Source organism: Homo sapiens, chromosome 5 (genome assembly GCF_000001405.40).
Source record: "Homo sapiens chromosome 5, GRCh38.p14 Primary Assembly".
Classification (NCBI taxonomy): Eukaryota; Metazoa; Chordata; class Mammalia; order Primates; family Hominidae; genus Homo; species Homo sapiens.
In genome coordinates, this window is record NC_000005.10 from 155107384 (window position 1) to 155121822 (window position 14439).

Here is a 14439-nt window from a genome sequence, read left to right on the forward strand (position 1 = left end):
TGGCTCACGCCTGTAATCCCAGCACTTTGGGAGGCTGAGGCGGGTGGATCATCTGAGGTCAGGAATTCAAGACCAGCCTGGCCAGCATGGTGAAACCCCTTCTGAACTAAAAATACAAAAATTAGCCAGGCGTGGTGGCAGGCACCTGTAATCCCAGCTACTTGGGAGGCTTTAGGCAAGAGAATCACTTCAACCTGGGAGGCAGAGGTTGCAGTGAGCCAAGATTCAGCCACTGCACTCCAGCTTGGGTGACTAAACAAAACAACAAAACAAAACAAAACATATGTACAGAACACTTGCTCCAATGTGTTAGGCTTTGGGGATTTGGCAAAGAACAAAGTAGATTTGGTCCCTGCTCCCTTGGTACACTTGATAAACAGTAGTGGCAATAGTTGCTTATTATTCTTAGTTATACCTCTCTGCTGTTGGCCCATTCATTTTGCACATGGAGACAACATGAAGCTCCAGCGGCTTCTTGGTCTGGACAGTAACACCCCAACACCATCCTGAACATGTTATGGAGGTGGACACTGTATTCTATACATTCGATTTAATTGATTTCTCAAGCCCTGGCAGTATTTTCAGCTTAATTACCCATAAAACTGAAGCAAAGATACTTGAGGTCTAACACCATTTTCTGGCTCAGTAATCTATATGTGGCTAACCCTGCAACATTACATTTAATGTTTTTCAAAGGATTGGAGGGTGGGTATGTATCCCATCATTATCTAGTGCCTAGAGATGGCTAAAAATTTCCATGTAAAATAACGTATTTGGTTTTGAGCCTGTAAGTTTTCAAAGGAGAAATTGAGCTACTCAACACCTGAGGGGTATATGGTTTGGTTATCACTTCTCCAAATCTCATGTCGAATTGTAATCCTCAATGTTGGACGAGGGGCCTGGTGGGGAGGTGATTGGATCATGGGGGTGGATTGCCCCCTTGCTGTTCTCCTGATAGTGAGTTCTCACGAGATCTGGTTGTTTAAAAATGTGTAGCATTTCCCCCTTCGCTCTCTTCCTGCTCCAGCCATGTAAGATATGTCTGCTTCCCCTTCTGCCATGACTGAAAGTTTCCTGAGGCCTCCCCAGCCATACTTCCTGTATAGCCTGCAGAACTGTGAGCCAATTAAACCTGTTGTCTTTATAAATTACCCAGTTTCAGGTATTTCTTTGTAGCAGTGCAAGAATGGACTAATACAAGAGGAAAAACAGAAGATAAGAGGAGTGCGAAGATAGCAGTGGAAAGAAAAAATGATTGGTGGTCTTTGGCAAGGAGGATGGCACCTGGACTATGGGAGCTTTGGTGGGCTCTATAACCTGCCATAAGATGCCCAGCTGTAATAAATTAGATAGGTTCCCTGGTTTGTAAAGACTCTGGCTACTTAAGCCAATGGGAATTTAATGGAAGGTTAGGGGAGCTGGATCCCACAGAGGGAACCTATGAGAGGCTCTCTGAGTATGAGGCACTTTAGAGGACCATGTTTGAGAAGGGGCAAGAACCTAACAGGACTTGGGAGGATTGAGCAGCAGGGAACCCTGCAATGGCCTCATGGAAGTAAGAGTCTGGCTTGTCTCCTGGTTGGTCTACCATCAACTCTTCTTCTCTCCCTGCATTTGTTCTAGACTCAAAGTCCCAAAAGACAACTAGCTAAGCCTAGGCTGCAGGTCTGTGCCCTGGTTGTTTTGTAACTGGAGGGGAATCCTCTGGTGACTTCAGCTTTTGTGCTGGGGGGTGGGTACCTGGAATTATTTTCCCATGATTATACATATTGGTGTGGTAAATTCCCAAAAGGAAATATATTAGAGTGTTATTAGGATGGGGGAAATGGATATAGGCATGTGTAGCATGTAAAATGACAAGGTTGATGACTTATTAGCTAAGAATCAACTTGTTTTATTGTTCCTTTGAGGTTTGTTTAAATGTTGCTTTCCTTTCTGGGTTTCTCCAGGTAGCTCCTCATCTTCAGTGTTCTCATTGCACTTTGTATTCTCTTAGCTTTTAATTCTCAGGGACAAGGACTGACCTGGTTCAACTCTGTATTCTTAGGGCCTAGCAAAGTGCTTAACACATAGAAGACATTTGCTGACTTACAGTTGAATAGAAAAAGTATGTGTGGATATCGTACTAGAAACGCAATTGTAAGCAGCTGGGAATTTCAATGGGTAACTTTTCTGTGTAGAAAACATTAAAAAATTATTTTGTAGCCCGTGTGTGTGTAAAACCCATTCCCCAAAGGCAAAACGGTGTAGCGTCAGAGACAATAAAGCATCCTGTCAATTTCAACTTTTATTCACTTGATTTTTGAAGAATATTTTCTTTTGCAAAAGCCTCCTTCACTTAAGAAGTTTTCTTGTCTTGTTAGGTACCAGCCAAACCAGCCAAACATTTTCTCTTTAATGTGGAGACCTGGGATCCTTTTCCCTAAGATATTTTGATTGCTGCAAACCCTTGGGCTCTGCTGGAATCCAGCTCCCTGTTTCTAAGATGAAACCCGGACCATTTAGGGCATGTAGGGGCCAAGGGCCCTTGAAGGTTTGCTGAAAACCACTGACATGAGGCAGATTAATTAGAAAAAAGGCATACACATTTATTTAACGTGTATGCAAGAGAGCCTTTAGAATGAAGACCCAAAGATACAGGGGAAACTGTCCATTTTTATGCTTAGGTTCAACAAAGTGTGGACAGCCGTGTGGAAATAGGATTGGACAAAACAGGCATGACCGAGTAGTGAAACTCAGCGAGGCCTGTCTGTCTAGGTTCTTCTTGGCCTGTCCGAGTGGCTTTCCTTCCTTCTAGGTATGGGGCAGGACCCTCTCTGGAAGGGGGGTCTTATGACTCACAGACAAACAAAACAGGTCAGATCATTTCTTTATGGCCAGTTTTCACACAGAAAAATGGGGGAAAGTTAGAATAATATTTTTAGGTTTTATGGCTGGCATTAAGGAAAGGGCGTTCTGGTTCCTATGACCTACATTGGGGAAGAGAGATTCTAGTTTCTCTGGCTAGCCTTGTAGGTGAATGGGACTGAGAGACAGGAGGGCAGGAGCAGGTCAGGGAGAAACATTTGCTTCTGAGGCCTTCACTTTAGGGTATTGTTTTCTGGGCCCCAACAGGCATCTATAGGGCTGGTAAATTTACCTGGAGTAGCCAAGTACAAATGAATTACTTCAGAGCTGGCATTTATTGCTAAATAGATAGTCTTATCTAAGGGCACCAAAATTCTAGAATCTGAATTTTATCCTAAAATTAGGTCCCCCTGGCTCCCCTTCAGTGAAGTGATTGGCAAGGGATTGTGGAGAACTGAGGCATTTGCCTACTAGACTTCCACCTCCCTGGCCTAGTTAGAGCAAGCAGCAGCAGAAACTGACTGATATAAGCAGAGAAGAAATGTATGGAAAGGGCATTCGGCAGCCCCCACAGTGACCTGAAAGGCTGGAGAATTGGGCAAGATCAAAAGGAGAGTGGGCAACCAGGACCAACGCTAGAATTGTGAATAGCCCCTGGCCACAGAACCAGACTGACAGGGTCCCTGCAGTGCCTGCCACTGAGCCTGATTACCACAGCCTGCAGAGGTGCTGCTAGCTACATACAGTGAACACCGCTGACCCTACTTCTCCTGGGAATGGGATTTTGTTTTGCTATCACCTGCCCCCAGGATGGATTCTTTGCAGTCTCCTATTCTCTGCATCTCTAGCTGCTGTTTCAAAGTCCTGGGTGCCCTGCTTTCAAGAGGGGTTGGGAAGGTGAGCACTACATTAAAAAAAGTATCAGTTATTTAATTAGATTCTCCTTAAGAAATTTAGAACATCAATGTGTGAGGATAAATTCCACTCGTCAGGGCAAACAGAGATCACAGTTAGCCTTGGAGCTGAGGAATAGCTTTGATTTTGGTAAAATTTGCCAGTCCACAGCTTTCTGATCAACCAGGCGCTACTCTATCACTTCATATTTCTCTTTTTCTGCACCAGAGATCTCACTTTCGTGGTGTCTGGGTTTCTGCAGTTTCTTCTTGAAGTAAGCATCAGTAAGATGTTTTGAGATTTTCACATTGCTGACTGATATCAATTGTTGTAGAGGTGGCAGTGACAAATTACTGGTGTGTTCTTCGCAGAGAAACTCAATTGACGACCAGAGGTCCGGTCACAAGTAAAAGCCATTGCCCAGCTAGCTGCTCCAGGAAAACCATCTTGCCTCTGTGGCGCCCAGTGAGGATGAGCAGAATGGTCCTGGGAGAGATGCTGGCTTGCAGTTTTCTGGCATGCTGACTACAGGTTTTTTTTTTTTTTTTAGGCAGCATCTCGCTCTGTCGCCCAGGCTGGAGTGCAGTGGCACGATCTCGGCTCACTGCTACCTCTTGCCTCCTGGGTTCAAGCGATTCTCCTGCCTCAGCCTCCCAAGTAGCTGGAACTATAGGTGCGTACCACCATGCCTGGCTAATTTTTGTATTTTTAGTAGAGAAGGGGTTTCACCATGTTGGCCAGGCTGTTCTCATACTCCTGACTTCAGGTGATCCACCCACCTCAGCCTCCCAAAGTGCTGGGATTACAGGTGTGAGCCACTGCGCCCAGCCGCTCAACAACTTTTTAGACACATCTCCGGTAGATGATAGCTAGGCATCTTGTGAAGTTTAACCACTGGGGCACCACCATTCTTGTCACCACCAACTGGTTTTGTAACAGTTGCAAGAAACTTCTCCTTTTCAATCTTGGATTTAGCCGCTGAATACTTCCTTTTGTACGTGCCTTTCTGGAACACATAGCAGGTCGGGAATATCTGCCAATTCCTCTGATGAGGACAGGATTTCAGCTGCAGTGGGGCTTCCCTTTCTTGGGCTTTTTAGCTTTGAGGTTACCCTTTGTCACGTTGCCACTAGCATCAGCCTTCTTGGATTCAGGTTTCTTCTCCCTAGTATCTGGCTTCTCAACTTTTTCACTCGCCATCTTACAAGATGAGAAAGCACCAAGCTGGGTGCAGTGGCTCATGCCTGAAATCCCAGCACTTTGGGAGGCTGAGGCAGGCAAATCGCTTTAACTCAGGAGTTCGAGACCAACCTGGCCAACATGACGAAATTCCATCTCTACAAAAAAATATAAAAATTAGCTGGGCGTGATGGCGTGTGCCTATAGTCCCAGCTACTTGGGAGTTGAGGTGGGAGGATCACTGGAGCCCAGAAATTAAGGCTGCAGTGAGCTATGATCATGCCACTGCACTCCAGCCTGGGTGACAATGAGACCCTGTCTCAAAAGAAAGAAGAAGAGAAGAAGACAGCACCACATTTTCAGGCTCCTTAACAAGATGCTTAAGGTTAGGGACCAGCAGAATTCCCCAAAGGTGATAAAGAATTTCATCTGCTGGGTAGCTAAAAGAAAAATGCCCATGACATCAATTTTAAGCCATTGTTGGTAATAGTAAGAGAACCATCTTTTTGATGTTTTAGATTCTGACATTAAAATGCTTTGTTGGTTCAACACAACAACATGGATGGTTGAAGGATCACAAAAGAATCTACTATGTCTATTATTTCCTTGAGTGTCTGAATGAAATGTCGTTGGCTCTGTGGCAAGTTTACATTGAACTTAGTGCAAAGACTCTGGATCCTGGCTTTTAATTGGGGCTCTCCCACTTACTAGCTGTGTGACCTGGGAGCAATCATTTAATCTTTCTCAGCCTCAGTTTCCTCATTTATAAAGTGGAAATGACTTTAGCACTTATCTCTTACTTAGAGTTCTTGTGTGATGATATCCATAAAGCTTCTAGGACAGTGCTCAGCATATAATAGTGCTTAATAAATGGCTAATTTAGAAAGACTTGAGATTGAGGACTGGCCAACAGGGTCAAAATGCAAGGCCTGCCGATGTCCAGGATGTACCAGGTGTCTACCTTCAAGGATCATTTGGAGGAAGGAGGTCATGATGAAAGATGAAGTGAGTGACCTCCAAGTTGGATGACCTCCATCAAACAAGATGGGCAAATTCCCAAATGCTACTGGTCACAGGTGCCTGAGCAGAACAATCTGCTTTCAAAGTACAATTAAATAGGAAAATGCTCAGTGATCTCAAGGGGTAGACCCACCCCGGTGCCCCATCTGCTCAGTTTAGGCAGAGCCATTAGACAGTGCTGGGGAAAATGTTTATCTCTAGTTTACAGAAGGTTCTTTTGGAATCTCTTTGCCGAACTCAAAAGGGGGGCGTTCTCAGACACAGATGATCTCAACAACCTTTGTTTAGGTTGGAATCCTGGGAAAGTCATCAATCTTTGGGCAACTCACATTTCTATTTTTGTTCCAGTTATCCAGCAGATAATAAATAAGTTTTTAGTTCTGCTAAGTGCTAATTTGAGAGGCATCTCTTTTTATTTATTGGGAGAAAATACGAAAGATGCAGCCTAAGAAATAATCTGTTGGTGTTGCCGACTCACCTTTTCAGGTAAGGCATCCATTTTATTATTATTTAGCATTTTTGCTAAATTAAGAATGAGAATGAATCAGCAAAAAAAGAAAGATTCTAAGAGATGTGCATACATTTGTTTTCCCATAACTGAGGATCATTTGAGTTTATGTAAGACGCTATTTCAGAGTTAGCACATCCCCTCTAAAGCTGCTGCGTTTAAAGCTGGGTTGGTTGTTAAAAGCACCATTTAAATGTTTTCATGGAAGAATTAGGGATGGAATATGTACACAGTGGCCACCCAGGGAGAAGTTGAAATAGTCATTTACCTCTTTAATGGAGGCAGAGAATGTAATTAACAATCATTTGCACATAACAGTTAAATATTTCATGGTGGTGACAATGATTCATCCTTACTTCCTACAGCATCTACAGCAAAATTAAACCCAGGTCTTAAGACGTTCAGGAAACTATAGAATGTAAAAACTCAACATTCATCCTGTCTCTGTCCTACTAACTCACCTTCCTTGTATTCCTCTCATACTCATCCTCCTTCTGCAAGTAGCAGTTTTAACTTCTGTATTGCTTGGCACCACAGGCCTCCTAATTTACAGAGAGAACTTGGCTAGTGCAGGGAAGGCAAATAGGTTTCAAGTCTCAGATTTCAACCTGAAATTGATTGGTAGTGGCTACCTGGAACACTGTGTTGAAAGGGCTTCTAAAAAGTTGCCTCTAGGCACAGTGCGAAGGAGGGCAGTGATTGATTAGTAATGCCTGCCATGGGTTGGAGATAAAGAGTACTGGCCTGAATATCATTTATTTTGCCATCCTCAACCAGTGCAAAGAACCCAAGATTAGGAATTGGGTCTGGTCTTGGTTTAGCCATAGCATTGAGAGGTGATGGCCTGCTGGCACCCCTTGCAGCCCTCGCTCGCTTTCGGCACCTCCTCGGCCTCCGTGCCCACCCACTCTGGAGGTGCTTGAGGAGCCCTTCAGCCCGCCACTGTGGGAGCCCCTCTCTGGGCTGGCTGAGGCCGGAGCCGGCTCCCTCTGCTTGCGGGGAGGTGTGGAGGGAGAGATGCAGGCGGAACCGGGGCTGCCCGCATGGCTCGCATGTCCGGGTGAGCGTGGGCTGGGCGGGCCCTGCACTCCGATCGGTGGCCGCCGCGCCCCCGGCTCTGGGCAGTGAGGGGCTTAGCACCTGGGCCAGCAGCTGCGGAGAGTGTGCTCTAATTCTCTAATTCTCCCCGGGCCTCAGCTGCCTCCCTGCGGGCAGGGCTTGGGACCTGCAGCCCACCATGCCCAAGCCTCCCCTCCTCCACTCTGGGCTCCTGTGCAGCTGGAGCCTCCCCGACCAGTGCTGCTCCCTGCTCCCCAGCGTCGGGTCCTGCCCAAGAGCTGAGGAGTGCGGGCACACGGTGCGGGACTGGTGGGCAGCTCTGCCTGCGGCCTTGGCGCAGGATCCAGTAGGTGAAGCCAGCTGGGCTCCTGAGTCTAGTGGGGATTTGGAGAACCTTTATGTCTAGCAAAGGGATTGTAGATACACCAATCAGCACTCTGTGTCTAACTCAAGGTTTGTAAATGCATCAGTCAGCACTCTGTGTCTAGCTCAAGGTTTGTGAATGCACCAATCAGCACTCTGTATCTGGCTAATCTGGTGGGGACTTGGAGAACTTTTATGTCTAGCTAAGGGATTGTAAATATACCAATCAGCACTCTGTGTCTAGCTCAACGTTTGTAAATGCACCAATCAACGCTCTGTGTCTAGCTAATCTAGTGGAGACTTGGAGAACTTTTGTGTCTAGCTCAGGGATTGTAAACGCACCAATCAGCACCCTGTCAAAACGGACCAATCAGCTTTCTGTAAAACAGACCAATCAGCTCTCTGCAAAATGGACCAATCAGCAGGATGTGGGTGGGGCCAGATAAGGGAATAAAAGCAGGCTGCCAGAGCCCGCCGTGGCAACCCTCCTTGGTCCCTGTCTGTTCTGTGGAAGCTTTGTTCTTTCACTCTTTCTTGTAAGTCTTGCTGCCCACTCTTTGGGTTGGCACTGCGTTTATGAGCTGTAACACTCAACTCGAAGATTTGCAGTTTCACTCCTGTAGATCAGTGAGGCCACGAACCCACCTGGAGGAAGGAACAACTCCAGACGTGCTGCCTTAGGAGCTGTAACACTCACTGCGAAGGTCTGCAGCTTCACTTCTGAAGCCAGTGAGACCCCGAACCCACCAATTCGGGACGCAGCATGCTATATGATTTTGGACAAACATCACCATCCCAGTTTTCTCAAATGCTAATTTAGAGGAAATTTAGTCTCTCATACAAAATTTAAAAGACTGTTATAAAGGTTGAAAAAGATTTGAAAGCCCAGAAATCTGTATAATATATTGTTATATTGCCGTTTTCCAAATGGAAGGATAACTGGACAGCTTATAGATTTATGTAAGACTCAGAGCTCCATTATAAATCTATTTATTTTATAAATGTGAGGGGTTTAGGGAAAAGGGAGTGTGAAGTCCTACACAGAAAGGAGAGACTGAAAAAGGTCAGAGATGAAAGGAACTTAAATATTATCTAGGAGAGTGGTTTTCCTGTTTTTTTTTTCTTAAAATCTGAGAAACTCCGTTTTCCCCCTCAGACAAAATCCTTATGCACACCCAACACAATAAACCAGTAAGTGGTGCTATTCTGTTTGAAGGTGTTTATTTCTTACTAGGCTTCCCAGATACTTGGCGTAGAGCAAGTATTAAATATATTTTAATTCAATTATGTGTCCCAGGCATCTTCAGAAAGAAGTATTAAAACTTTCCTAGCGTGTTAAATTCTGCTACCTCACCAACGACAACTTGGACCTTGACCTCCAATGTGTGTTCGACCAAATTCCCTTCGTAGAGGCTGGGAAGAGAGGTACTTGTTTGAGATCCAAATGATAAAATGCCTGGTATGGGAGGGAAAAAAAAAAGATTTTTGTGTGAGAGAAAAGCCAGTCCTAATTGTATTACGAACACAAGGACATAAAAAAGCTGTTCCATTTCTAAAATCCTAGAGTGGAATGAGAAGTCCTTACAGTGAATTTGCCTCATCACAATCCGGTCATCCAGTGAGTATTTGCCTAGTATCTGCTGTGCATCAGACATTGCATTTAGCACTGGGATACAGTGTTGGACAAAACTGGGTCCGTGTTTTCATGGACCATATATTTTGTTGGGAGAGACAGAACGAACAAAGGTAGAAAGATTTTAGACGGTGATATGTGGAATGAAAATAGTTTTCATACCAAGGAACTGAAGGTGGAGCTTCTAAATAGCAGTTGCTCCATACTTGTTAAATGAATCAATAAAGGCTTATTATGGGCCACCAGAGGCCCCAGACCACACGCTGACAATAAATATTTTCAACAATGTAAAGAGTAGAACCGTATCAATTGTAATCTTAGAGTTCCCATGGGGCGCAAGAGAAACTTTATTTTCCTGATTGAGTGGGAGTCTGGCTCAGAGCATTGTGGCTAGAGCTTTTAATATCTTTCTATTTCGGAGCTACCCAGCCACGTTTGTGCACCTATAGCAATGTCATAAAAGCTACTCCCTGCTCGCGGTAATGAAGCACAGAAGAGTTGTGTTAGGAATTTATGTCAGCTGGAGAAGGGACGCTGGAGTAGCCAACTTATAACAAAATAACTTTAATAAATTTTGTTGACTGAGGAAAGAAAGGCAAAGCATTTTATGGATCTGGAAAACAAATGAGTTTAGGGCTCAGAGCTGGGAGAAAGTGATTACAGAAGAGAAGTCAAAGTTGAGAATAGAAAGAAGACGACTGAGAGGGAGTCAGAGGTGTGAGGAGCCAAACAGGACAAAAAGCTGGGTTCATTTGTACTATGGATCCCCTCTGCTGTAAAGGAATGAAAGTGGCAATAAAATATTCACACGAAACCTATTTCAAAAGCCATAGTTCACAAAAAACCATTAATCTCACTGTGATGGTTAATTTAATTTAATTTAATTTAATCTTATTTTCGAGACAGAGTCTTGTTCTGTCATCCAGGCTGGAGTGTGGTGGCATGATCTTGGCTCACTGCACCCTCCACCTCCCGGGTTCAAGCGATTCTCCTGCCTTAGCCTCCTGAGTAGTTGGGATTGCAGGCGTGCGCCACCATGTGCGGCTACTTTTTGTAGAGATGGGATTTTGCCATGTTGGCCAGGCTGGTCTTGAACTCCTGACCTCAAGTGATCCACCTGTCTTGGCCTCCCAAAGTGCTGGGATTATAGGTGTGAGCCACCACGCCCCGGCCTGTGATGGTTAATTTTAATACGTCAACTTGATTGGGTCACAGGGTGTCCAGTTTAAACATTACTTCTAGATGTGTCTGCAAGGATATGTCTATTTCCAGATGAGACTGGCATTTGAATTGGTGAACTCCATGAAATAGATTGCCTTTCCCAATGTGGATGGGCACCCTCCAATCAGCTGAGGGCCTGAATAGAAGAAAAAGCAGAGGAAGGAGGGATTTGGCCCCTTCCTGCCTGCTGCATGAAGTGGGATCTTGGTCTTATTCTGCCCTTGGACTGAGATTTACACCACGGGTCCCCCTGGTTCTCAGGCCTTCAGACTCAGACTGGGACTACACCACTGGCTTGCCTGGGTCTCCAGCTTGCAGACAACAGATCGTGGGACTTCTCAGCCTCCATAATCACATGGGCCAATTCCTCATGCCTTAAATTAGAGGCATTTCCCATTTGTATGCTTTGAAAAATCAATTCACAGCAACAGTGTTAGAATTGTGAAGTACCTTCTCTTTCCCTAATGTCTGTCATTCTCTTCTTCCTGGCCTAGGTATATCGCTTTCAGCTCAGAGGCTTACGTTGAAAGAGGAAGTTTGGAGATAAATGCTCTTTTTCTCTTCATGTCAGTCTGGTGAGATGCCCCTTCAACTCTGTGAAGCCCCTTCAACTCTGGCTTGCCCTGGCTATTGTACTGGCAGAGGGACTGCCAGGGAGATCTTGTGACTTATGTTGAGTATTTATTCTCTCTGGCAAACCAGATGGTCATAACGAGGAGCCTGGCTTCTGGATTTGCCAGTTACCTTACAATGTAGTGGTCACATCTCATTACATCTCAACTCTTACACCATGGAATTCCAGGAAGTTCTGAAGCCCCAGGAGCCTTCAACATCTGAAAGCATTTGGATTTACCATTCTGTTTCTCATCCCCTTGTTTGGAGGCCTCCTATACCTTGCTGTGATTGTGTGCTTGTGTGTGTGTGCGTGCGTAGGAATGTGTGTGTGTGCATGCATGCTTTGCTGGTATGATGGTTCTCAGCACAGTCTACTGCCTTACATCCAAGTTCTCCCATTTAAGCTGGCCCTCTTAGTATTTTATCACTGACATTATTTGGAATTTCTGGTGCATGCTGATAATACAATCAGACTGACTCTTATTGTTTTTAAATTCTCCAAAGGCCATGCCCATGCACCCCTTTATTGCCTGTACATAGGGCTGACTTCGTCTACCGCCTTAGGGTCAAAGTCTCTGCTTGGCGGCATCCTATTCACCCTTCATGACCCATCCTGGGCTAGGTTTGATGCTCCTCCTACCCTGCTTTCTCTATCCTATCACTTATCTGATATGTTTGTTTAACCATCTGTTTTCCCCCTCTCTATTTTAAGGGATGTGGAAGCAGAGAATGTGTCTGTTTTGCTCACCATCACATCTGCGGAGCCTAGCCCAATGCCTGGCATGGAGTCAGGATGCAATCATAATTTGCCACATGGAGGAATAAATGGTTGGCTTGTCCCGTGACTGGCCACTCTCTGTCTTACTTCCTCATCTGTAAAATCGAGCACTTTCTTTACTTACATCATAAGATTTCCATGAAGGTGAAATAAACTGATGAGCATTTTTTGTTTTTATTTTTTGAGACAGGGTCTCGCTCTGTCGCCCAGGCTGAAGTGCAATGATGTGGTCTCAGCTCACTGCAACCTCCGCCTCCTGGGTTCAAGCAATTCTCATGCCTCAGCCTCCCAAGTAGCTGGGATTACAGGCGTGTGCTACCACGCCCGGCTAATTTTTATATTTTTTTAAGTAGAGATGGGGTTTCGCCGTGTTGTCCAGGCTGGTCTTGAATTCCTGACCTCGGGTAGTCCGCGTGCCTCGGCCTCCCAAAGTGCTGGGATTACTGATGAGCATTTTTTAAAAGAGTGCAAAAAGAACTGTATAAAACTGTGAGGTGGTAATTGTTACGTGTGCTGTTGAGTGGAAAGGTGATGCCTGACGCATCCCTTTGGTTTGTTGTTCTTTCCTGCTCTTCAGACACAAATATGTGTCAGCATTTAATCAATACTGTCTTTCCAGAGGGAAGATTGACAGAGACAAGACTTCCTCTCTGCTCCTGTCAGGGTAATGGGTGCCTGTTGAGATGCTTGTCTTAATTTACCTAATAGAGGGCAGTTGCCTCTTGCAAACTTGTTGTTTTGATTTATTCAGCAGATTTGCCATGATTAAAGTGTCCTCTTTGTTATTAAGATAAAACCGACCTTTTCTTTCTTGAGGTGAATGACTGATGAAATATATATATATATATTTTACCACCCAGTGAGGTTAATTGGATGGTTTCTATCCAGGAACCAACATGTTCTGATTTAACATCAAAATCTTTTTGTAGAAGGCTCAATGCTAGGGAGATTAAATCTAGGACTAACCAATGGGCACAAGGGATGAAGAGAGATTTTTAAAAATTGACTCATTATGAAGTAGATCTGTTAATGGATGGGCCCAGGGATGGGATGGGGTATCTTTAAAGGAAGGAGGCAGTGTCTCAGACTGGGGATGTTTACACAGAGGTTGGATGGTCACTGAGCAGGAATAGAGCTAATTTATTTATTCGACAGATGTTTAATGAGCTCCTACACTGTGCTTGACACCAAGCAAGGTACTGGGAAGAGGCTGCCCTAAAGCCTGGAGATGTGGGTCTAGTCTTGTTTAACAGTAATAGCACACAACTACACAAAAGTAGCAGTTAATGCTCATCAATTGCTTACTATGTGCCAGCACATGGCTCAGCATTTTATGTGCACTGCTTCGCTCCTCAGAATGCCTCGGATAGGTGCATTTCCCCTTTTTCCACTCACTTGCTGTATGACTTTGGGCTGGTCCCTTTCCTTCTCTGAGCATCAGTTTCCTCATTTATAAGGATTTAACTCATCCCAGGGACAAAATGAGCTTCCAGGAGTAAGAGAAATTGAGACAAGGGAGCATCTGAGGGGGTGCTGAGCTCCCTGGCTCTGAATTTTTAAAATTTCTATTGCATATAAAAACCAAATAGAGGCCATAGGCCTCCTAAAGGTGAAGCTTCAATTTTCAAGGAAATAGGACTATTGAGCAACACCAAACAAGGGACAGTGAAAGAGGAAAGGAAAGGTTCTGTCTGATAAATTGGACCCATTATTCTGGTCTGGGCCTGTTTAGACATTTATGACTTAAAGTAATTTTTCCTCTTTTCCTCACACTGTGTTCATCTCAAGAGAGTTTGGGCCAACAAGTTTAAGGAATTCTCAGGATATGTAGGCACAGACAATGATCTAAGTGCACATCTGGTTGCTGGAAGAGTCCAGGGGCTTGGCTTCTGGAACCCCCAGGTAGACTCTGAGGCCAGGCAGGGACTCAGTCAGGACAGGGGACATAATCTTTTGATACAACAGACAGTGGCATAGCAAGCATGGGTGGTGGGAGTATAAAAGAGTAGTTTATCACTGACATTATTTGGAATTGCTGGTGCAGGCTGATAATAAAATCAGACTGACTCTTATTGTTTTTAAATTCTCCAAAGGCCATGCCCATGCACCCCTTTATTGCCTGCACATAGGGCTGACTGTTTCTACCGCCTGTCCTTTTTTTTTTTTCTCTGTTGCCCAGACTGGAATGCAGTGGCATGATCTTTGCTCACTGCAGCCCCCGCCTCCCAGGTTCAAGCGATTCTCCCGCCTCAGCCTTCTGAGTAGCTGGGATTACAGGTGCCCGCCACCACGTGCAGCTAATTTTTGTATTTTTGGTAGAGA

General features: G+C 44.8%; 1 long non-coding RNA gene and 1 pseudogene across 2 annotated transcripts; one reads left to right on the forward strand and one right to left on the reverse strand.

Moving 5' to 3' along the window:
* On the reverse strand, positions 3769–4958 carry RPL6P32 (ribosomal protein L6 pseudogene 32; annotated as a pseudogene).
* LOC105378239 (uncharacterized) lies at positions 8349–12184 on the forward strand. 2 transcript variants are annotated; one of them, XR_944435.2, is made up of 4 exons: positions 8349–8406; positions 9168–9295; positions 11219–11299; positions 12052–12184. It is a non-coding gene; the product is annotated as an uncharacterized LOC105378239 (long non-coding RNA). The 2 variants fall into 2 exon arrangements; XR_001742940.2 differs by having other exon boundaries at positions 11219–12184.
* The last annotated feature ends 2255 nt before the right edge of the window (positions 12185–14439 follow it).